Here is a 27,655-nt window from a genome sequence, read left to right on the forward strand (position 1 = left end):
TAACTCCTGACCTCAGGTGATCTGCCCACCTCGGCCTCCCAAAGTGCTGGGATTACAGGTGTGAGCCACTGTGCCCAACCAATAACAGAAACTTTCATTAAAACTTGAATAATCAGTATCAAACTCACGACATCAAAAATCATATTTTCAATTTTCAAGTTATATCCTCAAGAAAATTTTTACTTATTGACATTTATTTATATAAGTGTATACGTGTGTGTGTTTGTGTATTAAACCATTTTTGCATTGCTATAAAGAAATACCTAAAACTTGGTAATTTATAAGGAAAAGAAGCTTAATTGGCTCACAGTTCCACAGTCTATGCAAGAAGCATGGTGCTAGAGAGGCCTCGGGGAACTTTTACTCATGGTGGATGGTGAAGTGGGAGCAGCACATCCCTTGGCGAGAACAGGAGCAAGAGAGTGATTGGCAGGGGGAGGTGCCACACGCTTCATGTAAACAACCAGATCTCGTGAGAACTCACTCACTAACAGCCATGAGGACAGCACCAAGCCATGAGGGAATTCGTCCCCATGACCCAAACGCCTCCCACCAGGCCCCACCTTAACACTGGGGATTACAGTTCAACGTGAGATTAGGCAGAAACATATATTCAAACTATTTCAATAGGTTTTCAGAAAGTTTAACATTTTTTTAATTTTGAAAGAAAAATAAATTCTTAAGAAGTTGTAAAAAAAATTGTACTGGGAGGTTCCATACCCAGTTTTCTCAGTGTTTACATCTTGTGTAACTATAGTACAATATCAAAACCAGGAAAGTGATATGGTACAATCCACGACCTCATTCAGATTTCACCAGGATTTCATGCACTCGTGGGTGTGTATTCATATGTGGGCAGGAACAGCTATAGGTCTATGCAATTTTATCATAGGCGTAGATTCCCTGCAGCCTCGACCTCCTGGGCTCAGTTTTTTTCTCACATCACAAGGCTCCGGGTGTCACCTTCTTTACCCACACCCCTCCTCCACTGGCCTCCGCCATCTATCACTGGCAACCACTAATGTGTCCTCTTTCTCTGTAATTTTATTATTTCATAATAATTATGTAAATAAAATATAGTGTAACCTTTACGCTTAATAAGCATAATTCCATGAGCGCCATCCAATTTGGTGCCTGTAGCAATAGTTTCTTTCTGTTGCTGAATAGAATTCCATGGTTTGAATGCGCCATAGCTTGTTTAACGATTCACAATTTTAGTTTGTTTCCAGTTTCAGGCTATTAAAAATAAAGATGCTGTGAACATTCGTTTATAGGTTTTTGTGTGACTACTGGTTTTCATTCCTCTGAGATAAATGCCACAGAGTGCAATTGCTGGGTTGTAAGGTAACTGCAGATTTAATTTTATAAGAAACTGCCAACTTATTTTCCAGAGTGGCTGTATGATTTTCTAATTTCCACCAGCAACGTAGGAGTGATCAATCCAGCTTCTCTACGTTCTACCCAGTATTAAACAGTGTCACTTTTTTTTTATTATTCTTACAGACATTCTGATAGGTGTTTAGGAATATCTCACTGTGGCTTTTTTTTTGCATTTTGCTAATGGCTAATTATGTTGGACATTTTTGCATGTGCTTATTGGCCATCTGTATATACTCTTTCCTGAAATGTCAGTGCATATGTTTTGCCCATTTTCTGACTGGATTGTTTGTTACTGCTGAATTTTGAGAATTCTTTATATACTCCAAGTTCTTTGTCAAATGCATGGTTTGGAGATATTTTTTCTAAGTGTACGGAGTCTTTAGAGTCTTTTGCAGAACAAATGTTTTAATTTGATGAGGTTCAGTCTACCAATTTTTCCTTTTATGAATCATGCTTTTGGTGTTAAATTTAAGAATTCTTCTTCTAGCCCTATGTCCTAAAGATGTTTTTATGTTTTTTTCCGAAGTTTTACATTTTACATTTAAGTCCGTTTTTTGTTTTTTTTTTTTTTTGGAGTTTGTGTAAGTCTGAGGTTTAGGTCAAAGTCATTTGCCCATCACCACTGTTATAAAGGCACTCCACTGAATTGCTTTGGAACCTTTGTTAAAAATCAGCTGGGTGGCCAGGCACGGTGGCTCACACCTGTAATCCCAGCACTTTGGGAGGCCGAGAGGGGCAGATCACGAGGTCAGGAGATCGAGACCATCCTGGCTAACACGGTGAAACCCCATCTCTACTAAAAATACAAAAAATTAGCCGGGCGTGGTGGCGGGCACCTGTAGTCCAGCTAACTCAGGAGGCTGAGGCAGGAGAATGGCATGAACCCGGGAGGCGGAACTTGCAGTGAGCAGAGATCGCACTACTGCACTCCAGCCTGGGCGACAGAGCAAGACTCCATCTCAAAATAAATAAACAAACAAACAAACAAACAAATAATCAGTTGGGCATATTTGTGTGGGTCTATTTCTGAATTGACTATTCTATTCCATTGACTACTGTGGTAATATAGCAAGCGTAACCATTGTGCAGAATGTTCCCCCACAGTGTCCTCCCAGACTGGGATTCTCCTCAAATCAGTCTATAGCTTTTATGCAATCCCTGTCTTCAGACTTCAGTATAAATCCCCTTCTCCCAGACTTCAATATAAATTTTAGAGTATGTTTGTCTGTGTGTACAAAAATCCTTGCTGGGACTTTGATAGGGACTGCATAAAACTATAGATTGATTTGTGGAGAATTGACATTTTGCTATGGTAAGTCTTCCAATTCATGAAAACGGGAAGTTTCTCCATTTAGTTAGGTCTTCTTTCATTTCTTTTAACAGCATTTTTTCAGCATACAGTTTCTACACTTGTTTTATTAAGTTTATACCTAAGTACTTCATTTTCTTAGAGTGATTCTGAATGTTATGTCTTTATTTTAATCTCAGTTCCCACATATTTGTTGTTAGCATATAGATGTGATTGATTTTTGTGTTGATCCTGTATCCAGTAATCTTGTTTAATTCACTTATCAGTTCCAGAAGTTTTTATATAAATTCTTTGGGATTTATTATGTGGATAACCACGTCAATCAGAGACTGTTGTATTTCTTCCTTCCCAATCTGTATGTTTTCTATTTATCACCTGTGCTTTACTAAAGTAGCTAAAATAAGATAGGTGAAAGTGGATATCTTTGCCTTGTTCACAATCGGGGGAAAAAATCCAGTCATTCACCTTTAACTATAATGACAGCTGTAGGATTTTTGTAGATTCTCTTTATAAATTAAGGAAATTCTCCCCTATTCTTTTTTTTTCTGTAAAAGTCTTGATAATTTATTTTTTTATTTACAATTTTTATCATGAATGGGTATTGTATTTTTCAAATGCTTTTTTTTTTTTTTTTTTTTTTTTTTGCCTACAATTTTTTTCTTTAGCCTGTCAATACTGTGGATACACTGGTTGATTTTCAACTCTTCAAACAGCCTTGCACACCTGGAATAAATCACACTTGGTCATGGCATATAATTCCTCTAAGATATTGCTGGCTTTGATTTGCCCATATTTTGTTCAGAATTTTTGTGCCATTGTTCTTGAGAGATTTTGTTCCATGATTTCCTTTAGTACACTGTCTTTCTTCCTGGTATCAGTGTAATACTGGTTTCGTAAAATTAGTTGGGAATGGTTCCCTCCTCTTCTATTTTCTAGAGGAGACTGCATACAGCTAGTAATAATTCTTCTTTAAATGTACCATAGAATTCTCCAGCGAAATTATCTGGGCCCAGAGATTTCTTTTTTGGGAACTTCTAATTACAAATTCAATTTCTTTAGTCATTAATGGACTACTAAGATTCTCTACTTCATCTTGGGTACATTTTAGTAACTTTTGTTTTTTAAGGAATTGGTCTATTTTTTCTGAAGTGTTGAATTTATATGTATAAAATTGTTCGTGGTATTCCCTTATTTTCTTTTAAGCGTATGTGGGATGTGTGATAGCTTCTGTTTCATTCCTGACATTGATGTCTTTCTCTTTTTATTTTTGTCCAAGGTTTATCAAATTAATTGATTTTGGGGGGCAAGATAAAAATTTTTATTTGATTAACTTTCTCTATTGGTTTTTGTTTTCAATTTCATTTATTTCTTCTTTTATCTTTATAATGTTCTTACATCTGCTTGGTTTGGGCTGGGCACAGGGGCTCATGCCTGTAATCCCAGTACTTTGGGAGGCCAAGGTGGGCAGATCACTTGAGACCAGGAGTTTGAGACCAGCCTTGCCAACGTGGTGAAACCCGGTCTCTGCTAAAAATACAAAATTTAGCCAGGCGTGGTGGTGTGCACCTGGAGTCCCAGCTAGTTGGGAGGCTGAGGCAGGAGAATCACTTGAACCCAAATGGTGGAGGGTGAATGAGCGGAGACAGCATTACTGCACTCCAGCCTGGGCAATAGAATGAGACTCCATCTCAAAATAAATAAATAAACAAATAAAAATAAGACAAAATCATCTGCTTGGTTTGGGTTTGTTTTGATCTACCTTTACTAGTTTTTGAGGACTTAAATTTGAGAGTTTTTTTTTCTTTCTTTTTTTTAATCGTTCAGTGCTACAATTTCACCATCAGCACTGGTTTAACTGTGCACTCCAAATTTTGATATGCTGCATTTTCATTTTCATTCAGTACTATGTATCATTTTATTTTCTTTGAGACTTTCTCTTAGACTTATGGATTACTTAAAAGTTTACTGTTTAACTTCCAAGTGTTTAGTGATTTAGTGTTATCTTTCTGTCACTGATTTCTAGTTTGATTTCACTATGCTTAGAAAACATAAACTGTATAATACTAATATTTTAAATGTACTAGAGTTTGTTTAAGACTCATGGTATGGTTTATCTTCTGAAATGCTCTCTGGGCAGATGAAAAGAATGTTTATTCTGCTTTTGTTGTGTAAAATGTTCTATAAGTGTCAATCAAATCCTGTTGACTGATGGTGTCGTTTGGTTCTTCTGTATGTTGGGAGCACATCCTCCTGTTTCTACTCAGTGGTGGGTGAAAGATTAGCTCCCAGCTTGACTGCTGAAACGAGGAGGAAGTGCATGCAGCTTTTGGATGGTGTTTGGCTGGAGTAGGGTAGGCATTATCAAAAAGTTTTTTGTGCTCTTAGACCATCTTTTTCCTGGTCCTTTCGCGGGGGCTTTTTTGTTGGTGTTTGTTTGTTTGTGTGTCTGTCTGCTTGTCAGCAGTGTCAGGTTGCAGACTTCCCAGAGCAGTATCTGGGATACATGAAAGGCAAAAAGAAAACCTAAGGAACTCAACGCAGCATCATTCCTCAAGTCCTGAGGTTCTCAGGCAAGCTGCCTTTCTCTTTCAACCTTCAGATTCTTCCTGTGTTTATTTGTTGTGTTATGGCCAGAGTTTTGTGTTCCAGGAGGAAGGACCTGGGAGGAATGGCACTATTCCATCTTGGCCAGAATTGGAAATCTGTTTAGAAAAAATTTTTAACTGTTTCTATTCTCTCTTCGATTTCTTCTTCCCCTGTGTCTTCACGCCTTTTGATTGTATTCCTGCTTCTAAGCACCTCCAACAGAAAGAAGGCTGCGAAATTAAAGGAGTTGGAATTCAAATCAGTCCATGTTGCTATACATTAGCAACTCTAGGAGAGGTTCAGTGAAGGAAGAAGTTAAAACTACTTACTAAAATGAGGTTTCCAATAAACTGTGGGTGTTAATTATCCATTCAACCCAAGCCCTCAATTAGCAGTAGTGGAATACTAAGGCTTAGACCCCATTCACTACCAAGATACTGCCCTTCCGTTGCTTTTTAGATGAACTGCTCAGAGAATAGGGTATTCCCCACTCAAACTGAGAAACTGTATGATATAATGGAAATGTCAATTTTTTTGTTAGGAAAGCATAAATTATGCTTTAAAAATTTTCTTTGCTGTGTGTCAAGCAAAGGGACCAGCTGACATGGTACCTATCTTCGAGGCATGCTCAGTTAAATAATAAGAATCGGGCAGAATACTCAGAGACAAGTGAATTAAGATTAACTAAAATGTGTGTTTACATTAAATTTAAGCTGATTATGAAGAGAAAAGTTAATGCAAGAAGCTGCTTTAGAGTAAAATGGCTTTATTATTAAATTGAAACAAATAGAATTTCATAAAATGCTCAACTCATAAATAGTAGAAAACTGCCAGAGATATGAAAGCCTGTAAAAAAACCTGTGATGCAGGCTAGAAAGTGAAGAAGTCAAGGCAATGCTGTTATATTGAATGAATAAGAAAAAGTACATTTTTTTGCTAATTACTTAATGAAACTCAGTTTCTATCATGAATTACAGACATTTTGCCAAACATTTATTTTCAGATTTCATTATGATATAATCAGATGTGTTTATTCTTAAGTCCCTCAAGTAACAAGTCAGTATTTGGCCCTTTTTTTCCTCTAAAATTATGTATTATAAAATACAATTCACACTTAAGAATAGTGAAATCTCTAGATTTTTATAATCTTTCCAGATAACAAAAGATTGAAGAACTGCTAATGCTGAAACTATGTGATGCGTTTTTACAAAAGTTCTTCAAAATCTGAGCTTTTGTATTTTCCATGTTAGTCAACTTGGGGAAAAAATGGTTTCTGATGATAAGGCTATCTAGAATTCACAGGATTCCTTTCTTTCTTTAACAAAGCACGTTTTACTATCCATGTTAATCAAATATTTAAAATAATAACCTTTTAAACATCAACTGGCAACAATTACATTGTAGAAATTCAAACCAGAGATGCTCAGGAATGTGTCCAGAACAATTGCAGAGGGAAAGCTGCATTGTTCCAAAGGCTACAATTTCCGACTCCTGAAACACAGCCCAGCAGTAATAACAGTGCAGTGATCAGATTTCCTTCGTTAAAAAAGGGCTCTCTAGACACAGAAGATCATGAGATAAAGAATCTGAAAGTAACCACCTCCACTGCCTCCTCCTGATTCAGAATTTGATGTTACACTCCTAATTTTCATTATAGCCTATTATTTCCAAAGCACCCTTAAAAAAATCAATAGTATGTCTAACTCATTAGTATTTTTGGTAATGAGGGGTCCCTTATGTTGGGGGACCCCTCATAAGGGGGTCCTTTATGTTACTGTTGATTCAGCATTCCAGTAAATAAATTTTGGTCCAAGCATAAATCATGCCTTCATTTCTCTAGATTTCATACTGTCAAATTTGTTCCTTTCCTAGCTAATTTCAGATTTTTATTTTTTAGGAAAAAAAGCCATGTTCTTGCACCACACTAGTAAAGTAGAAACCTTACATGCATTGCTGATTTTCAGGCAAACTATGTAACATGGCTTTCAATGGGTGCTTGGCAAGGAGGAAACATGGGCTAATAAACGAAAAATATAAATGTATCTGAGGTGGCATGTCTGCCTCTCCCAAGAAATAAATTGTTCTATATAAAAAACAGCATGCTTTAAAACATTTTTTAAAAGTCAACAACCTAGTGTTATTTAACTAGCACACCAAGAGCCTCCTCATGCACACCTTCTTTCTGTCTTTCCTTTCTGGTTCTCCCTGTAACCACAGTACCTAAGGGAAGGGTGATCAGCAACTAGCAGACATGGAGAGACTTCCTGCAGACTCTCAAAATTTCAGAATTGATCGCTTGCTCTCTTTATTTTATTTATTTATTTATTTATTTATTTATTTATTTATTTATTTATTTATTTTGAGAGGGAGTCTCACTGTGTCACCCAGGCTGGAGTACAATGATGCAATCTCAGCTGACTGCAACCTCAACCTCCTGGGTTCAAGAGATTCTCCTGCCTCAGCCTCCCGAGTAGCTGGGACTACAGGTGCTCACCACCACACCCAGCTAATTTTTTGTTTATTTAGTAGAGATGGGGTTTCACCGTGTTAGCCAGGATGGTCTCGATCTCCTGACCTCATGATCCACTCGCCTTAGCCTCCCAAAGTGCTGGGATTACAGGCATGAGCCACCGCGCCCGGCCCCTCTCCTTTAATAAGTGTTTTTTCATGTGTATTCTTAATTTATGAATAAAAACTGTACATATTTATGATGTACCACATCAGGCCTTGATGTGTCTACACGTTGTGGAATGGTATAATCAAGCGAATGAATATATCCATCACCTCACATCCTTAGCATTTTTTGTGGTGAGAATATTTAAAATCCCCTCTTGGCAATTTTCACATGTCCATTATTATTAACTACAGTTGGCACGCTGTACAGTAGCTCTCCAGAGCATCCTCCTTCCGAGGGACGCTACACGCCAGGACAACATCTGGCTCTGTCTGCCCCACTGCACTCTTTCTCTGGGCAATGCTTTCCTTGAAGATTAGGTCCTCTTCTGCCTCTGGTCACCTCAATCAAAATAGCATCACTACCAGTACACGTGCTTGAGGTGTCTATTGTTCTTCTATTGTTCTGGCATTTTCTCAGAAAGAAAGCTAAATCTTGTTTCTTGTACTGACCAAATGGTGCTGCAGGCTCTGATACCTCTTGAGAACCTCAGAACTCCCTAACTTCTGAGCTAACTTCTGAGCTGCCCCAGGCACTGAGGGCTGCCCGGATGTCCACAGGCACTTTCCCCAGATGGTGGAGCTGGTCCTTATTCTTAGTGTCCCGTCACCGCAGACACTGGCTCCAGTTACCCCTTCACGACACACATCAAGCGGGCACTGTAGAGCCGTGAGGGCTACCTACGCTGGGTGTGGCAAGAAGAATCGACTGATAATACTGTGTAAGAGGAACCAGACCACAGGAGATTCACAGGTGAAAGACAGATCAGAGACCACTGCAGTTGAGGGCTCCACGCTGAGGCACTGGGAAAAAAGGAGCGGTCTTCACTATATTACCAAAATTACTAGGCAAGACTGGGTGAATAATTACATATTGGAGAAAGAAGAAAGAGAAGAAGATGATCTTTGGGACTGAGTGACAAGTGAAGCACAATTCAGGAGACCTGGTTATTGACTTTGGTCCCAGAAACTGTCCAGAAATACATGGTGGGAGGTGGTTGTAAAAAAGAACTCAACCGTTAGAGGCAGTGCAGCCAAGCAAAGGGATTGGCCAGTCTCTTTTAAATACAGATACTTTCTATTTCCTATATGAAGATTAAAGGAAAGAACCTGATGGAGAAGAAGCTATCATTTTAGAAAGGAGACAGTGAATGTGGGTACAGGAAAAGCCGAATATACAGGGTGGGTAGAGAGGTGAATTCCATGGGGAGCAGCATCTCTGTGAGAAATACACTGGTCTGGGGCGAGGGCAGGCTACAGGTAAACCAATGCTGTTGGTCTTCTGATGGAAACAGAACTTGAGTTCCATAACTATCAGCAAAGATGGGATGTTAGGATGAAGGCCTTGAGGACAGAGAATGTTCTGGGTGGTGAAGACGATGAAGATAAAATAATAAATGTATTTACTAGGAGACATTTTGTCATCAGAGACCATTTTCTCCAGTGTGTGGGCTTGCTTCAGATGTTTTCCCCAGCAACTTTTGGAAGGCTGGAAAAAAGCAACATAAACCCATGATTTAAAGGAGATAGAGGGACTTGAAACAGATTTCTTTGCTGCCTAAGATGGGAGGCAGAATCAGGCAATTAAGCACGAGTCGAACTAAAATTTCTGAAAGAGCAGAAGGAAGAGTAAGAATGGGAGAGAGGGAGAGAAGACGACCAGCAACAAGGGTTCTCGAAAGCAGAAGAGCACCTTTGCTCAAATGCCTGACAATGTAAAACAAGAAAAGAGAGAGACAGAGACAGAGACAGAGAGAGATCAGAAGTAGTTGAGAAACTTGGAGAAATGTGAAGTCCCTTCTGAGCAGATTTCACCAAGGTGCTGCTTTTCTGGGCATGCTGGAAGGAGTAAGAATTAGGGTAGGGAGGAAAAACAGTTACTGATTCATTTCACAATCAATGTGGAAAAATCCAAATTAGTCCAAATGCCCTTCCCAATTACATGTTAATAGCCACTTAACATTTTGTCTCTGCATCAGTAGACCAAACTTTGAATCATATTAAATGATGTCTGACTTTTTTTTTCTCATTAACTACATGGAAAACAGTCTCCGAAAATGTTACCCATGTAGGCAAAGTAAACTAATGGTTCACTAAACAACACCTCCAATGAATCGGTGCTCACTTGGCACACCCTCATTGCACTCCAACAAAGATCAAGGCAACGACACAAAGGAGGACCCCTTACCCCAGAGGTGTGTGCAGTGATGATGGGTTCCTCTCAGTGCCAAGCCTGAGACCTCAGTTTCCCCACACTTTATTTCACCACTGTGTCATGCACTCAAACACCCGAGGGGTCGAGGCTCGGCTCAGCCGTGGAGATAAAACACAGGATTAAACGGAGATTTAAATCCCTTGGTAGAATCTGACCATATGGAACTCCAGATAAAAATGGTTAGAGCCTCTAACAACTTTTTTTTTTTTTTTTTGAGACGGAGTCTCGCTCTGTCACCAGGCTGGAGTGCAGTGGTGCAATCTCAGCTCACTGCAACCTCCAACTCCTTGGTTCAAGCGATTCTCCTGCCTCAGCCTCCCAAGTACCTGGGATTACAGGTGCAGGTCACCATGCCCGGCTAATTTTTTTTGTATTTTTAGTAGAGATGGGGTTTCACCATGTTGGCCAGGATGGTCTCGATCTCCTGACCTTGTGATCTGCCTGCCTCAGCCTCCCAAAGTGCTGGGATTACAGGTGTGAGCCACCGCACCCGGCCACCCCTAACAATTTTTTTCCCAACTTCTTAGGCCTGACTTCTGAGAAACATTTTCTTTTCTTGTGTAAGATTTACTGCGGAAATTAGAATTAGTCTGAATGACTAAACCAAAACAATGACTTGAACATGTGTATTCTATTGCTCACCTATCAGAATATCAAATATATAATTAAATTAAAGTCAATTTTAATGTAAAATGAAAGTATATGCTATTTTTTACTATTATATGAGATGATGTTGGAATAATGGCAATATTCAGAATATCTGGGGATTTAACTCAATTTTACTTTGCATTCTAATGTTTTTTGGGCTACAGTTGTCTTCCCATTTACTAATAGAAATTGATTCTAGAAGTATAGATATAGAACATTCTTGGACATTCCAATGGGAGCCCAAAGTGAAAGATCTTTTCTTGAAAGCTACTTGGTTACATGGATAAAAAACCTGAAAACAATATTCATACCATTTGACTCAGTAATCTTATTTAATGAAATATATCTCAAAGAAATAATCCATAACACATACAGTAACTTAGGCACAAAGATATTCATCAAAACATTATTTAGTCAACCAAATCAGAGCAAGTAATCTAAATGTCCAACAATAGAAAACTACTAAGTAAAATACATTATTTGGCCAGTCAAGGGAATATTATACAGCCCTTACAATAAATGTAAAACATATTTAATAGCACAAGAGTATCTATAATATAAAGTTACATGTAAAAGTATGATAGTAACTTGTATGTACAGTGTGTAAATAATAGTGCATACATATTAAATGTGCATGAAAAACTAAAAGAAATACATCCAAATGTATTCACATATTATAAAATTTTCTTCATGACAACTTTTTTTAATTTTGGAAAATAATAGATATTATTTTGTAGAAGCAGTCAAAGAGTAATGAGTATCAAATTTCCTAAATAATGATCTTATCGACTCCAGATGGGTCTTCATTTCACAATTTAAATATACAGAACAGGCTGGGCATGGTGGCTCACACCTGTAATCCCAGCACTTGGGGAAACCGAGGCGGGTGGATCACGAGCCCAGGAGTTTGAGACCACCCCAGGCAACATGGTGAAACCCCCTCTCTACTAAAAAAAAAAAAAAATAGAAAAATTAGCCAGGTGTGGTGGTGCACACGTGTAGTCCCAGTGACTCGGGAGCCTGAGGTGGGAGGGTCACTTGAGCGCAGGAGGCAGAGGTTGCAGTGAGCCAAGATCACACCACTGCACTCCAGTCTGGGCGACAGAGCAAGATCCTGTCTCAAAAAAAAATTTTTAAAGTACAGAACACTCCACACAGGCAAAAAGTTCCTGCACCTGACACAATGTTAAAAAAATATAAAAATGTAATATCACATATGTGTTATGTATAAAGTCACATATGTGCTATGTATAAAAACCCATGGGGTGTACAGATCATGTATAGAGTTCACAGCTAAGTGAAGGAGAATGTCTGCCTCACTTCTTTCCACTTAACCATTCTCCTACCTGCTTTCCTCCCTTTCATCACATCTGAACAGAGCAGGTGTCTAAGCACCCCATAAGTTTGCAGCTCTGAAAACCCCTGGAGATTCTTCTGCACCAGCTCCTTGCAGGTTGTAACCCTCTTAGAAACTATGTACCCAACATGGCTGCCACCAGAAGGATGATGGTAGAAACATTTCAGGTAGTCAAAACCCCCAGTGGTTTCACTTGTATCAGGGATAAACATACTAAGAGCTAAACTAAATAGAATTTAATTTTGGGCACAGTAGCAACTGGTATATATCTACCTTCTGATGAAACATAGCAAGATATCCCAGTCTCCCAAGTATTTAAAGAAAGAAAATTCCTGTTTCTTATACCAATTTTACCATTTTTTGCTATTCGTATCCCACCGTGGTTCCCTTGGGTCTTTCCATGCCTTCTAGTCTGCTGTGGACTAAGTGTCAGCTCCCCAGGCCAAGTGCCCAGAAACTCATCCCTTTCTTCACTCCTGCCCTGCAACCACGGCCCAACAGCGTCCCTAGGAGCTGTAATTATTCATTCTTCACACATTCCTTGCCTGGCGCGCTCCATTGCTCACTCGCTCCTGGGCTCAAACCAAACATTCTCTTCATGAGTTTCTTCAGTAACTTTAATGTGGCCTTGAGGACTTATGAGTGTCACAAGTCAAACTTGCAAAGCTTGAACGGGGGCACTAAAAAAGTGGAAAATCCCAAACTATCATCACTTGGATTTATGTCACTGGACATTTCATTTAGTTACAAGAGCAGTTATAATAGAGTTAAGCTGCCTCTTAAAGCTTAAGTATTTAGAAGGAAAGAGACAGTACAAGAATACACTAATCAACACGGAGCAATTGAACTAAAAATCAAGTCATAGCAGAGAATACCAGAGGTAATTATTCAGTGACATTATGTATTTTGAAAATCAAAAATGGCAAAGTTCACTGTTTTGCCTCCTTCCAGTTAGCTCCCACTGTCAACCTACAAAATGCAAAGTGCTTTGATAAGCCTAGAATTTTAAAAATCTCTCTCTATATAGCTCACTTTGCACTAACCTGTTAGAGTAAGTGTAAATTAGTTAACAGCACTTCACTGTGAAGCATCAAAACTAGTGTTTTGCCATACATATTCACAAAACCAGTCCCTTACAAGCCCTCTTCTCTACCATCTCAACGGGCTCCACTATCAGTATAATGGAATTCTAACATGTTTTGTTTTACATTTCAGGGTTTTGTTCTGATTGTTGTTGTTTTCACAGTTTCCTTTATAATGCAAGTAGCCATACAGAAAAAAAAAAAACCGTAGAGGTGCAACCTAGAAACATTCACGCTTTTGTGATAATACACAGAAAATAGTTTAGTAATATGTAAGTCTGATATGTGAGTCCCTCTCTGGCTGACTGACGGTTCCTATTAATATGGCAGCATGAGCAGGTTCTGATTTTTCTGTTTGCACATTATTGCATAATCAAATATAGTCTTGGGCAAAGGTTGCCATATCAGGAAATTAGATGTCAATTAACAGAGGCTTGCTTTCCTGTCAGCCTTTGTTTAACAAATTCCATCTGCTTTCCTCTGAAGGATGTTGGAGAAGAGAATTTTCCTTAATTATTTTAGAAACTCAGAGATGCGATAAAAAGAGAAAAAATACTGAGCCAAACAGACTCATGAGGTATCCAAACTTGGAGACAGAAACCAGCAGATAAAGCCATCACTGCTTATCTCCTAAGGAGAGGTAAATGTCATTCAAGCAGGCAGCTGAGAACCAGTGCAGGACAATCTGCCCCATTAATTGACCTTTTCTTCTTAATCTCAACAAACCAACCAATGCCCACGATCTATACCCACCCACCAATTCTCAGAGTTGATTCTACCCCAGGTGTGCTAATTTGGTTACATTGGGAACAAAGTGCATTCCCCTTGTAAGCATCTGAACTTTGAAAGAAGCAGCCATACTTCTGAAAGAGAAAAAGAAAAAAAGAAAAAAAAACAACCTTAAGTAACATATGTGACACCACCATTGTAGACAAATTATGTCAAGGTGGTAAATTAGCGCAAATGACTTATTTACTCTCTTTACATTGTAATTTCTTCCACACAAACACTAAATCCATTACCAACAGGATTCCATCTACAGCGGAAAAACCTAAGTTAAACAGTTGGAAATTGTTTGTGGGGGTCACTGGCTACTTCCAAGTTTGGTACACACTCCACATTTGGATCTATATAATCCTAATCCTGACTGGGTAGTTTCCTAAAACTTAATAATTTGCACATCCACCTTTTTCCTATGACATAATAAAATCAAGCAATTTTCCTGGTCTCTCTGCACATCTCTGGTGCAGGCAGACCAAAGTCTTCATCTCTACACCTGCAGCGGTTTACTTGCTCGGACTTTATGTATATAAAATTTTTTCATTAATAAGACTAGGAATAAAAAAAAATAGAATATAGCAAAAAAAAATTTTTTTTGAGATGGAGTCTCGCTCTGTAGCCCAGGCTGGAGTGCAGTGGCGCAATCTTGGCTCACGGCAACCTCCGCCTCCCGGGTGCCAGTTCAAGCAATTCTCCTGCCTCAGCCCCCTGAGTAGCTGGGATTACAGGCACACGCCACCATGCCCAGCTAATTTTTGTATTTTTAGTAGAGACGGGGTTTCACCATGTTGGCCAGACTGGTCTTGAACTCCTGACCTCGTGATCCACCCGCCTCGGCCTCCCAAAGTGCTGGGATTACAGGCATGAGCCACCGTGCCCAGCCAAAACATTATTTTTTGTAGAGATGCCATAATTGACATCCAAGCTTAAAATTATCTGCATTAAATGCTGGCTCCTCGCCCCACACTGGCCGAGTGCAGCACTGCAGACGATACTGACCACACCCCTGTCCTCTTCCTTTTGATCTGGATTATGAACTCAAAGAATGTTAAGATTGTTACAGAAATACCACAAAAGATTAAAAAATGGTGCATGAATTAAATGTATGTAAAATGTTCTAAAAAACCTGAATATGGACAATTTGGAACCCAACAACAAAAACTAAGGTACTTCTCTACTGGATGGTTCTTCTTAGGTAATAAGGGAAATGTTATGCTTTGGATACAAGAGAAACATTTGAATAGCTCACTGAAGGTTTTATTCACAAACTAATAATTCTAAATTCAGACCAAAAAAACTGATGCAACTATGTTTGAGACCTGAAAATTACTGAGCATGGATTCGGATGTTAAATCCCAGCTGTTTATGTACAAAGTAGCTGAGGCTCATAGCATACAGCAAAGGGAACCTGAAGAAAGAGTTTTCGGGTTCTACACCCACCATGCTTTGACAACACAATTGCAAGCTGCCAGAGGAGATGGGCTCCGTGCCACTGACCACCATGTGGACAACCAATTAAACCACATGCAGTATCAAATGACAAGAAGCTGTGGTCTGTGTAAAGCAAATAGAAGGTCTCCTTATGTTTCAAACAGCTTACGGACTCTAAGAAACATGGAAATCAGAGCTGCAAGGCAACTCAGAGAGCATCCATTCCAGCACCCTCATTAGAAAGATGATCAAACTGAGTCTGAACGACTTGCCAGAGTTCACACAAACCCTTCCTTGGGATCTAAACGCTCTTACACCTCAGATTTTCTACTGCAGAGGGTGAGCTTGAAAGCTAAACCCTCTATGTTCTCTAAAGGCAAAATACCCTGAAGTATGGAGGAAATTGCCTAGATAATTAACATTCCAAACAGTTTATGATAATAGAGTAAAATCTTAAGCCTGGAGAACCATGTTTTATTTAGCATATTTAGTATTGCTTCAAACTTTATCTTTATTTTATGATTGAAAAGTGGTTCTCCAGGCATAAGGAGAAAAAGAAAGATAAATGGATAATTGATTGATTGATTGATATAGATACAGATATAGATACACATAGATAAGCACTGTATTTCGAAAATAAGAATGCTTCTTTTAAAAACTGGTTTTCTCTGCTTCTAAATGCCAACACACACACACGCGCACGCACACACACACACACACAAGCAAACAAACAAAAACCCACCACAATTAATTAATATTTTTGAATCTCTTTGAATTTCCGGATCTGCTTTCATTTACTCACCCATGATCACCAGCCTTTTACAATCTCTGAGCCAAGTACAGGCCAGGTCCCAGAGAGGCCTCTGCAGAGGTGGTTAATCAATATTGTCCTCTTATGAGAGTACTGTGCTTTACAGAACAGTCCAGAAAATACATCTGCCCCCGAGCTACTATTAGTGACTATTCCTGAACAGGTATACACTCTTCATAGAATTATACAAAATTAGGCCAGGCGCGGTGGCTCACGCCTATAATCTTAGCACTTTGGGAGGCCAAGGCAGGCGGATCACCAGGTCAGAAGTTCGAGACCAGCCTGGCCAACATAGTGAAACCCCGTCTCTACTAAAAATACAAAAAAATTAGCCAGGTGTGGTGACATGCGCCTGTAGACCCAGCTACTTGGGAGACTGAGGCAGGAGAATCACTTGAACCCGGGAGTCTGAGGTTGCAGTGAGTCAAGACCATGGCATTGCACTCCAGCCTGGGTGACACAGCAAGACTCCATCTCAAAAAAAAAAATACAATATTAGTCATAAGAGAAATTTTAGGGATGACTTCCTCCAGAGGAGGCCAAATACTTTCATCACTAGAATCTTTCATCCAAACAGAATTTCATTTTATATGTAAATATATCTGATATAAAAATTATATACTATACTATATATTCTCATTGTATATAATATAAATTACATGTCACCATACCTGTGTATATAATAGAATATATTCAAAGATGGAATGGGACTCTCCCTAGTGGGATGCAGTGTCTGAGCACTGCCTGTTTCCTCTGCTGCCACAGCCCCCAGGAGGAATCTCCAGGTATCCAAGGCTACCAACCACGGCCACGCCCAGTAGCTTCAGGGAGCCGTATTTTGTTCTCCAAATTAAGCTACTATTGTTGACGCCTCTTGCACTTTCTCCTCTTCAACACACACCTCTATCCCTCTTATTTATTTATTTATTTATTTAGAGACAGGGTTTCTCTCTGTCGCCCAGGCTGGAGTGCAGTGGCGCGATCTCAGTTCACTGCAGCCTCTGCCTCCCGGGTTCAAGATTCTTGTGACTCAGCCTCCCGAGCAGCTGGGATTACAGGAGAGTGCAATCACGCCCGGCTAATTTTTGTATTTTTAGCAGAAATGGGGTTTTGCCATGTTGGCCAGGCTGGTATGAACTTCTGAGTTCAGGTGATCCGCCCACCTTGGCCTCCCAAAGTGCTGGGATTACGGGCATAAAACCCCACACCCAGCCCTCTTTATCATTTATTCTTATAATAGGTACAAGAACATAAGAAGGCTTAATACATACAAACCTCCCCTCAATGTCACAGAGACTGTTACTGTAAAACAAAAAATATCTTATTTTTTAAAATCAATTAATTATAACAAGTGCTTTAATCTTCATTTCTGCAAAATATCACTCATCTCCTTGTAAACCAGTAGATTATTTGTCAAAATTTTGCCTTCAACGATGTGGGCACTGTCAGTCAAAGTGGCTTTGCTAATACAGTACTCTTCTCTGCTATTGTCATTAATATGGAAGACCATTCTGATTCAATCCTTTAGCCCCATATTTCTTAAACTGTATTCTACCAAAACCTCTGTGAAGAAGTGCTAATTAAGGGCCCCTCACCCCTTCACAAAGAAAAAAAAATTTCCAGTCAAATATATCTGGAAAACGTTGAATTCTTCACCCCCTCATGAAGATTTGCAAAATCATTAATGTATTAAAGAACCTGACAATTCCTGCAGCAAAGAAACCTATTTTATGTGTTGGCCATAATTTCCAATATTATTTGAGCAGAAACACTTAGATTACAGGACACACATTAACGTTCTATAGGACGGTGTTCTCTAAGCAACATTGTTTTAGTCCATGCCACAAGGAATGACATCTCACAAGGAATGATTACAGGACACACATTAACATTCTATAGGACGGTGTTCTCCAAGCAACCATTGTTTTAGTCCATGCCACAAGGAATGACACCTCACAGGGAATTTTGGTGCCCAGGGCCAAATCAAAAGAAAGATTCAGAAATGAAAACTCATTCAATGGCACAGTCCAATATACCCTCATACCAATGAGTTAACTGCAGAATGCTTAAGAGCCTCAACAAAGAATATCGCACAATCAATCCAGGTCCTCAGACAGGTATCCCCGCCCCCTTTCTAGGATGCATACTGCCTTGGAAAGGCAAGGCATTTTGCAGGCTCTGCCCTAATTGTGGACTCTGAGCCTTCAGTGTGTATCAGTGGTGAGAAATTATTCTTGGAGGGCACCTGGCAGTAACTCCAACGCCTCCCAAGGGTTCTTGGCCTATAGCTTTGGAACCACTGGTCTGGGTCATAGGGATGGCACTGTTTTCCAAAACTCAGATATTTTTTCTGGGACAAGTTCACAGGGATCTTCATGTTTAAAGTTACGGTTAATTTTTATGGGCTAAACACCCAAAAAAGAGAATCTCTGCAATAAAACAGTTCAAAGATACACCTTTACTGCAAGGGCCATTGACTCCAAGAATTCACTCGACAAATATTTACCAAGCATATCCTACATGGCAAGAACTGTGCTCTGTGGCCATTCTAGTATACTTTTGGCCTGATATATGGATTTATCTCTCACATAGAGAATTACAGTCAGCATAATTGGCAAAAATTAACAATATTACAATAAATTATCCGAATTGGTTTTGTTCTTTCACAACCATTTTTGGTCTGCATAGATACACACACACACACACACACACACACACACACCATGGAATAATGGATGACCCAGAAAACTTGTTCCTTCTACTCATTAAAACTAATTATTGTAAAGTCTTATTCAAAAAAATAAAATTTAAAAGAACAGTGATGTGATGTTGAGCTAACTGACAAATATTTTATACATATATGGCAAACACAGTCAGGGTTATATCATTTTAAGCTAGCAGATTTTGTAATCTTTAAAGTTAATACAAAATAAAATAAAACAAATGGACCGGGCATGGTGGCTCACACCTGTCATTCCAGCACTTTGGGAGGCCGAGGCGGGTGGATCACCTGAGGTTAGGAGTTCAAGACCAGCCTGGCCAACATGGTGAAACCCCGTCTCTACTAAAAATAAATTTAAAAATTAGCCAGCCACGGTGGCATGAGCCTGTAATCCCAGCTACTGGAGAGGCTGAGGCAAGAGAATTGCTTGAACCCGGGAGGCGGCGGTTGCAGTGAGCTGAGATCGCACCATTGCACTCCAGCCTGGGCAACAGTGAGAGACTCGGTCTCAAAAAAAAAAAAAAAAAAAAAAAAAAAAAAATATATATATATATATATATATATATATATATATATATATATATATATATATATATAGTGTCATGAATCATGGCATGTGGATTCAGCAGTTACATAAAAGGAATTCTTTTATTGTAGAACTGGGGTAAAACATGATGATGATGTAATCAATAGAATTCATATCCTCTTTTAAAAACAAATTAGGACACTTAAAGAACTGTGATGTTCTCAGATCTTAATCTTATTCTTATTCATGTGAAATGTTAGTACCGCACATGCCAAAGTTTTTGATATCTGTAGTAAATGCTTCTGTGAGATGTTTAAGTTCAGTGGAAAAATGCAAAAAGAGATACATTAGTTAACGTTTACACATGGCTTCTAATTCTGGATGTGGTCTCCTGACTACAAAGGAATGAGGGGCAATCTACATTTCCAGCTACAGAGATCAAGAGACTCACTCTATCTTGATTGAATGGCACTGAGCAAATCGCCAAGAGACCTATCTTAGTCCTCTTCTTCCAAATTTTGCAGCTAGACAATCCTCTTAATGGCTGGCATAAATGGCCCAGAAGTAAGTTGCACCAGAAACTTGCAAACAAATGAAAACCACCTCTGCTCCACGGCACTGCTGAGTGGGCAGGCGGAAGGGAAGACATAGCCCAAAGAATCCCTGTATAAAAAGAATGTCAAGGCCAGGCACGGTGGCTCACGCCTGTAATCCCAGCACTTTGGGAGGCCGAGGCAGGTGGATCACGAGGTCAGAAGATCGAGACCATCCTGGCTAACACGGTGAAAACCCGTCTCTACTAAAACCACAAAAAGTTAGCTGGGTGTGGTGGCGGGCACCTGTAGTCCCAGCTACTTGGGAGGCTGAGGCAGGAGAATGGCGTGAACCCGGGAGGCAGAGCTTGCAGTGAGCCGACATCACGCCACTGCACTCCAGCCGGGGTGACAGAGCGAGACTCCGACTCAAAAAAAAAAAAAAAAGTCAAAACTTCCCTATAATATACGAAAGCTCCACCCTCATATACTTTCTAAGGAGACACAAAACTTTCGGTGTACAAAGGTACCAGTGATTGGTGCTTAGAATATCCTCACCAGCGCTTACATATGCTAAATTTTGAGAGAAACTGCAATCCTTTACTCTTCTTTCTGCTTTGAAATTAGCATAAAAGTTCCCCAGTGAAAGGGGTACCAGCTACAGAATACTTTACAGACTTTGTGATCTTTGGTTGGTGGTATTATAATTGGGTACAATCACACAAATTATGGTTGAATTATGTCCTCTAAAGTAAACACTGTATACATCACATTTAGCCTGTAAGATTCTTCTTTGTCCTGAGCCCAAATTCCGAGACATTAAAGCATTTCATTGGAAATTTACATATCACTTTCTTCATGCACTTATATATTTATTCATTTGTTTATTCTTCATTCATATATTCCTTTCCACAAATATTCGTATCTATTGAATATTGGATCCTATGCAAAGAACGGCTCATAGAAACAGCCCTGCCTCACGGAGTGTATGCTCTAATGGAGAGAGATGGAGAAGAAAGACTAAGCAAACAACCACACCCAAAGAACATTTAACACTATAATAAGTGTTGCAGGAAAGAATAAGTTTTCACAGAAATGCAGAATGGGAAATGTCTAATTTAGATAGCAGTGAAGGTCATGGAAGAAGATAAAGTCCTGTGAGCCCTTAATGGAGCATCTTTTGTTGTCCTGTAGCTTGATGAGGTAGAAAGATCAAAGAAGCAGAACCAGTTCCCAGCTTTGTCCTGCAGTAAGAGTAAGAAAGTCGGTGCTATTTCTGAGCCTATTTCCTCATCTAAAAAAATGGAGATGAGGTTAACACCTCTATTACCTACCTCACCAGCTGATGGGTCAAGTTTGATAATCAAATGTGACATAATACCTGAAGCATTTTATAAACCGCAGAATGGTGTAAAACTGTTAGTTACCAACTCCCTAGGTCACACCTCATTATGAATGACAAAAGATTTCAAATGTCTGATAGGCTTCATTTATTTATTCCAAATGTTTGGTAGTCATCAAAATGCAATGATCAGCATGCATAAGACACAGACCCCTATGAGAAAGAAAGGTTCAGTTACTCATAGACGAAAAAGAAGAGCTGTCACCCATATTAGATTCTGAAAAGTCAGTTGATGAATTCAGATGGTATTACTTGTGAAAATCAAGAAGTCTGCAGTCCCAAACATGAGCCTTTCTTTCCAAGAGATGTGACACCCTAGGAGAACTCTACACCTGCTATTGACACTTCTCAATTTCTTTTGTTCCTGCATGCATTTCATTAAAAGAACACTACCCTCCTCATTAACATCTACTCCATTCTTCATTTAAATGAAGACCAAATCTACAAGATACTTTCATTTGGCAAGTAGTCCAAGAAGCAACAGCTATCTTTTGGAACTCATTTTATTTACCATTATCCAAGGAAATATAAACAGAATATTTTATCTTTGGAAAAACCAAATGTTGGAGTCAAAGACAGACACCAGTCCTAATTTGTCAACTGCAACTCCAACTGCAACCTACCAGATTTAACTTATTTACATGTAGTTAATTCTTTTAACTACATGTAAATAAGCAGATTTGCCCCATCATGTCAAACTAAAGACAACATACCATAAGATCCTAGAGCCCAGCACGGGCTCAAGCAAGAGGCCATCCACAACAGGACCATGCATGTAAGATCCATTTTTTTAAGAGATGTAACATAAGCTTTACAACCTTCCTGAGGGGAAAGGCAAAAAGCATTCTCATTTTGCTCTCTATACCGTACGTTCTAATATTAAACACAAGCCTCTCTTACTAAAGAGCGTATTATATAAGGTATTATTGTCTTCCATCTCTGAAGTTCATTATATGCTTTCTTATCAGTGCCCCAGCATTGATGTATGATCATAACTTATGCATGAAACATACTGTCAGTGAAAAGTAATGTGCTCAATAAACACCCTTACCTCCCAAATGGAGCAACCTAGAGCCAAGCACAGACACACACCCTGGACCTTACCCCTGAAGTGCCTTCCATGTAAGCAGTTTTCCAACCCCAACTGGGTCAGGGAAACGCTTCCTTTCTGCTGAGTCATCCCCCAGCGTGCTTTGTAATAAGAGCATTAGCGCATTTCCTACCTTTAAACTGCTAATAGCAATTCATATGCAAACTCTGAATATGGCCCAGGGCTCTCCAGAAGCAATCAGTAAAGGACAGCCTGCTAACATGTGATAGTGTGGGTGTCCTCACTGAGATTTTCTCTGTAGAGCTCAGCCTCTTATGATATCACTTTGGTATCAATTGTGTCCCCACACAATGGGCATCTGGAAACCTCCGACTGAATTCCTGAGGATTAAGTGACTTGCCTGAGGCTAGACGTTCCCAGGGACTTGGAAACAGAACCCATAGCTCCCAATGCTGTAAGGCTTTTTTTAAACACACTACATGGACCCCTGGGATTCAGCTCCTCCTGCCTGAGAACCTGGCCAGGGACTAGATGCACTGTGTTCATTCAGCACTCACTGAAGGCAAAGCAGCTTCTAGACCCTGAAGTAGGGGGAAGGAGGACTAATTAACATAAATTTAGTCAAAAGATGTCTAAAAGCTGCATTTTCCAAACCTCTAACCCTAGCTCACTCTAGCCTGAATCTGCCTCTCCTCTTTGCCCCTCTTCTAAAAAGAAGAAAAACATAAAATAATAGTGCAAATGTGTGTGTGTGTGATTTTTGTACATGGGTATGACTGTATCCATTTAGTAGTGATACAGCTACAAAGCTGCTTCTTGAAATGTGCTAAAATTATGTTCATATGCACACTTATTTCACACCTACACATTAAAAAAATGGATTTTATAAGAAAATGCAACAAGTGAGAAGTGCACACAAAACAGCTAGCATAATGGATGAGTATGTCTCATGATAACTAAAAATACACATTGTATGTTACCCAAAAGGAACTCTAATTTTTAAAAACAAAAAACAATAATTTATTATTTATACACATGAAATGAGAAAAAAAAAGTCCTGTAGTTACACTTTCATTAGGATTGAGTTAATTTTAATGGATTAATTAAGTATGAAGTAATAGCGAAGTGCAAGTTAAATCACAGGAATTATCATTACTATCACTAGAGTCTGAATCTAGTTTTATGTCCCTAATACCAGATAGTTAATGAAGTAAAAAGTAAGTACATGTAACTTCTCCAAATTAACAGATCAAACAATGGCTCATTTTAATAAATTTTTTAAAACTCATATTTTAAAATACTGTTTTTAAATTAAAAATCCCTAATTGTTTTGTTTTTCAATATTTTATGTTTCCTATACTTGCAAAGTTTTTCCCATGTGTTGATCTCTTCATCTATCTACTCAACACATTTATTGTTCCCTAGAACCACTGGTAAGCACCAAAATTATAACACACACAGTAATTTTCAGCAGACAGTGTTATTGGACATACGCAATCTCACTTATAGAAATATACAAACTAAATCTCAATAATTATCTAGCCGTGTATAATTTTTATAGATTATCTAAAATTTTAAACAGGGGCTAAGAGAAACAAGAGGGAAGTTACACAAAACAAAATTTTCTTTGACAAGTATCAGGTCAACTAATTTTTAAAAAAAAAGAATGTACGAAAAGAAACATTAAAAGATTTAGAAAAAAATTGGAAATGCATAACTCCACTATCCATGAAGCAAGCTATGGCAAAACCAATGCTAAATATTAAAACATTCAAATCCCTTCCTAGATTGTTTCCACAAAACACCAAAATGAATGATGAGATATGCATTTACATGCTTAACTGATCTATATATGTGTTTATTTGAGATCAGAGACATTTTTTGGAGGCATCATCTACACAGGCTACCAGTAGATAAGGACTGGAGTCTACAATTGTTTAAAGCAAAAAGCAACAACAGCATCATTGTTGTGTATTATCTGTTACTGTTCTCTGCAATCACACTAAAAAAACTCTTGAACAAATGCATACACATCTCTCCCCATTTTGAGATACGTGTGTTTTTCAAAGTCCTTGTTTTGAACTTTGGTGAATTTGTATTTATTTCACTACATACACGTTTTCAAAAATGCATCTATCAAAACCTGAGGAGAAAATTTCAAGAAAGAATCTTCCAAGATCAGTTATCCCTCATTCATTCTACCTCACCATCGCTAATCCTCTATCTAAATTAACTTTTTGGCCAAAATAGTCATCTTACGCCACATCTCAAATCATGTCAATTACCTGCTTTAAAACCTTTACCATTTATAGGCTCCTTATTTCCTGAAATTATCATGTGAAGCCCTTGGCCTCCTGCAGAACGGCCTAGGTGCACAGGGGTTTGTCTTGCTTTTCCAACTTCGTCTCTGGAATCTCCCCTTCTAAATCTCTGATCCTGCTCATCCACCCATTCGTAACTCTGCCATTTTCTTTCCTAACCCAGAATATCCTCTTTCAAGTAAGCCAGTCAGAATTCTATTCATACCCCTCACACAATTTAAATATAATTTATTTCATGAAAGTTTCCACATCAAATACCTCCTTCCTCCCAGCCAGCTTCTCTCGTCCCTCCTCCTCCCTCCCTCTCTGTTCTGTGTGCCTCTGTCACTTGTTCCTCTAATGGGACTTGCCACATCCTACCTGTGAACAACCGTTTGTCATATCTGCTCTAAGAGTTACAACACACTTAAAGTGAGACCATTTATTATTGAATTTCATAACTTACCACACTTAGTTTTGTGTGACCAGTAAGGTGATTAATAAAGCTCATGAATAGATTTTACTGTTCTCAAACATTGACTGAGTGGCAGCTCTAATCCTATGCTTATATATTTTCTGTTCTTCCCCTCTAAAACGTGAGTCCCTAAATATTTAACCATTGCTCTATTTGAGGCTCCTTTAGGAACAGGTGAAATACCATAGCTATTATCATGCACAAATATTTTAAGGAAAATCAGATTTTTCTAAAACATGACGTGACCAATCTGCTTGTGGGAGGAAGACATTTTAAATGGCTGACATTCACATCTGCCCAATAGCCTTCAGTCTCCAATCCTACTGGGATCCTCAATATTTGTTTATAATAGGTGTGTGTTTACAGAGCCAGAAAAATTACTGTCATAAGAATGCAAAAAAAATGCGTACAAGTATATTTTGGCATGCTATGCATACCTGTTGGCTATGGAATATACACTTAAAGATTGTTCAATACAATGGCCTGTATCTTCCATTTGTCTTTCTCTTACTGGGTTCAGAGAAAATTGAGACACTTCAAATCATAGACTACAAATTAGGCAAACACTGATGAAGTTTTTAAACGTACCAACTATCAGCATGATGCCAGAACAACTGGAAAACTAAGTTTAAAAAATAATTCAAACAAATATGTGATGGTGTGCAACAGCACACTCTCCTCACTCCCCGAATTATTTTACTATTGTGTAGAGTTCTTAAAGGGCCAAATCAATACATTTTCTCTTCCACCTGCCATCCTCTGACATAATTATTTTTGACATAATAATCCACTAAATAATCAATTAACTTCTGTACTAAATTGTCTTCTCTAGAGAATGTGAAGTCCCCAGTTGAGAAAATCACAGATCACACAGTGTGGATCTTAAATGTATTAACTTGTTTCCTTATAAACATAAAACAAACATTTTGAGTAAAATTATTTTTATAGTATTACATAAAAAGTAAAATAGACATGTTAATTTTTACTGTAAGGTAATTTATGCAGTCACATTCCTTCTGTGTTCCTTGCTAACACTTTTACTGATACAATATTTGACTTACAAATGTCCTAAGTGATATACTTTGGAAAAAAGTACATTTTTAAATACATGGGATTGTAAATTTAAAAGCTTTAGATTAACAGTGAAAAATTAATGAGAACAGCTTGGCGTGGTCAAAAGTTTCTTCCTATAAGATCCTTAGTGGTAGGTATTTTAAAAGTATCTCACTAACGTCTATTTTTAAAAATAGTTTTACTTTATTTGTATATATTCATATATCTGTGACTTACTGCAAAGTTTCTCAAAATATTGTCCACAAAATACCCGCTTCAAAATATTTGAAGAAGTAGTTTTAAATGCAGGGACCCCAAGACTCCAGCCTATCTTGATCAGAATCCCTTGGAGTGAGGAACTAGCAGGCACGCATTTAAAGCAAGTTTGCCCACGTGATTCCGACGTACACGAGAGTTAAGAAGCCTACAGAGTGGATCTAAAACCATGTCTCACTGTATTCTCAATGTTGTATGTCCGAAAGAAAAGTTGCCAAACAATTTCTTCCAAAAAACAAATATTGTTTACAAATGCTCCTTCCAGAGTGTCCCTCCGCAGAAAACTAAACTAGTTTTCAAATCCCACGGCGTTTCAGCTCAATTAACAAATGAAAGGGCCATCCTTCTCCTGATTCCCTGGCGTCCTAAAGCACTCCTGGCAAAAGCCCGCTTCGCACCTCGGGGTACTGACCTCCGCTTCCCACAGGTCAGAATATTGAATCCAGTCTGCATTCACAGAAGACCTAAGTGACACTGTGTCACCAGCCTCCGACTCTCCCGGTAGAGCGGCTCCTCTGAGAGCCCGCCTAGGCGCGGCCTCCCGCTCTCTGAAGCAGCGGAAGCCTGTCAGCACCTCGGACAGAGACTGGCGGTGCCGGGCCCGGGTCTCCCAGTCCAGGAGGCAGCCTTGGAAAAACCGCAGAGACACCCCTGGAACGCACAGACCACTGTCTTCGTTCCCCTTTCCTGCAGCCAGAATCTCTTTCCAAACGACAACAAAGGAAACCTTAAGTACCTCTTACCTAGAATATAGGAGCCACCCCCACATCTCGCCTCTCCCGGTTCCCCAGCGCCTGTTGCTAAGGAGGCGAGACAGCGCTCGGGAAACCTCGGGACCAGGCGACAGAGCGCTGGAGGAGCTGGGAGCCCACGGGCAGCGGCAGATGGGAGCACTAGGCCGGCCAGGACTCCCCCGCAGGAAGGGTGCGCCCTCGCGGCTCCGACGCCAGCCAGGCCCCCGAGCGCCCGGGGCGGGTGCAGGGAGCCGGGCAAGCGAGGGGCCGGCGCCTGGGAGCGCGGCTCCCTCTGCGGACCGGGGAAACTC

General features: G+C 39.3%; 1 protein-coding gene and 1 long non-coding RNA gene across 4 annotated transcripts in view, besides 3 other annotated features; both read right to left on the reverse strand.

Annotated features, from left to right (window-relative positions):
- Positions 1-27,655, reverse strand: part of GABRB3 (gamma-aminobutyric acid type A receptor subunit beta3) — a 230,212-nt gene that overhangs the window by 201,094 nt on the left and 1,463 nt on the right. The window lies entirely within an intron of this gene.
- Positions 639-27,477, reverse strand: LOC112268151 (uncharacterized). The gene is made up of 2 exons (XR_002957720.2): positions 22,679-27,477; positions 639-5,505 (listed from the first exon to the last, which is right to left on the reverse strand). It is a non-coding gene; the product is annotated as an uncharacterized LOC112268151 (long non-coding RNA).
- Positions 21,186-21,775: an enhancer, noted in NCBI's record as "NANOG hESC enhancer chr15:27010978-27011567 (GRCh37/hg19 assembly coordinates)". NCBI's record gives its function as "activates a minimal SCP1, AML or CMV promoter by ChIP-STARR-seq in naive and primed H9 embryonic stem cells {active_cell/tissue: H9 hESC(naive and primed)}" and the evidence as "EXISTENCE:reporter gene assay evidence [ECO:0000049][PMID:30033119]".
- Positions 21,776-22,364: an enhancer, noted in NCBI's record as "NANOG-H3K27ac hESC enhancer chr15:27011568-27012156 (GRCh37/hg19 assembly coordinates)". NCBI's record gives its function as "activates a minimal SCP1, AML or CMV promoter by ChIP-STARR-seq in naive H9 embryonic stem cells {active_cell/tissue: H9 hESC(naive)}" and the evidence as "EXISTENCE:reporter gene assay evidence [ECO:0000049][PMID:30033119]".
- Positions 22,365-22,954: an enhancer, noted in NCBI's record as "OCT4-NANOG-H3K27ac hESC enhancer chr15:27012157-27012746 (GRCh37/hg19 assembly coordinates)". NCBI's record gives its function as "activates a minimal SCP1, AML or CMV promoter by ChIP-STARR-seq in naive H9 embryonic stem cells {active_cell/tissue: H9 hESC(naive)}" and the evidence as "EXISTENCE:reporter gene assay evidence [ECO:0000049][PMID:30033119]".

Source organism: Homo sapiens, chromosome 15, assembly GCF_000001405.40.
Source record: "Homo sapiens chromosome 15, GRCh38.p14 Primary Assembly".
Lineage (NCBI taxonomy): Eukaryota > Metazoa > Chordata > Mammalia > Primates > Hominidae > Homo > Homo sapiens.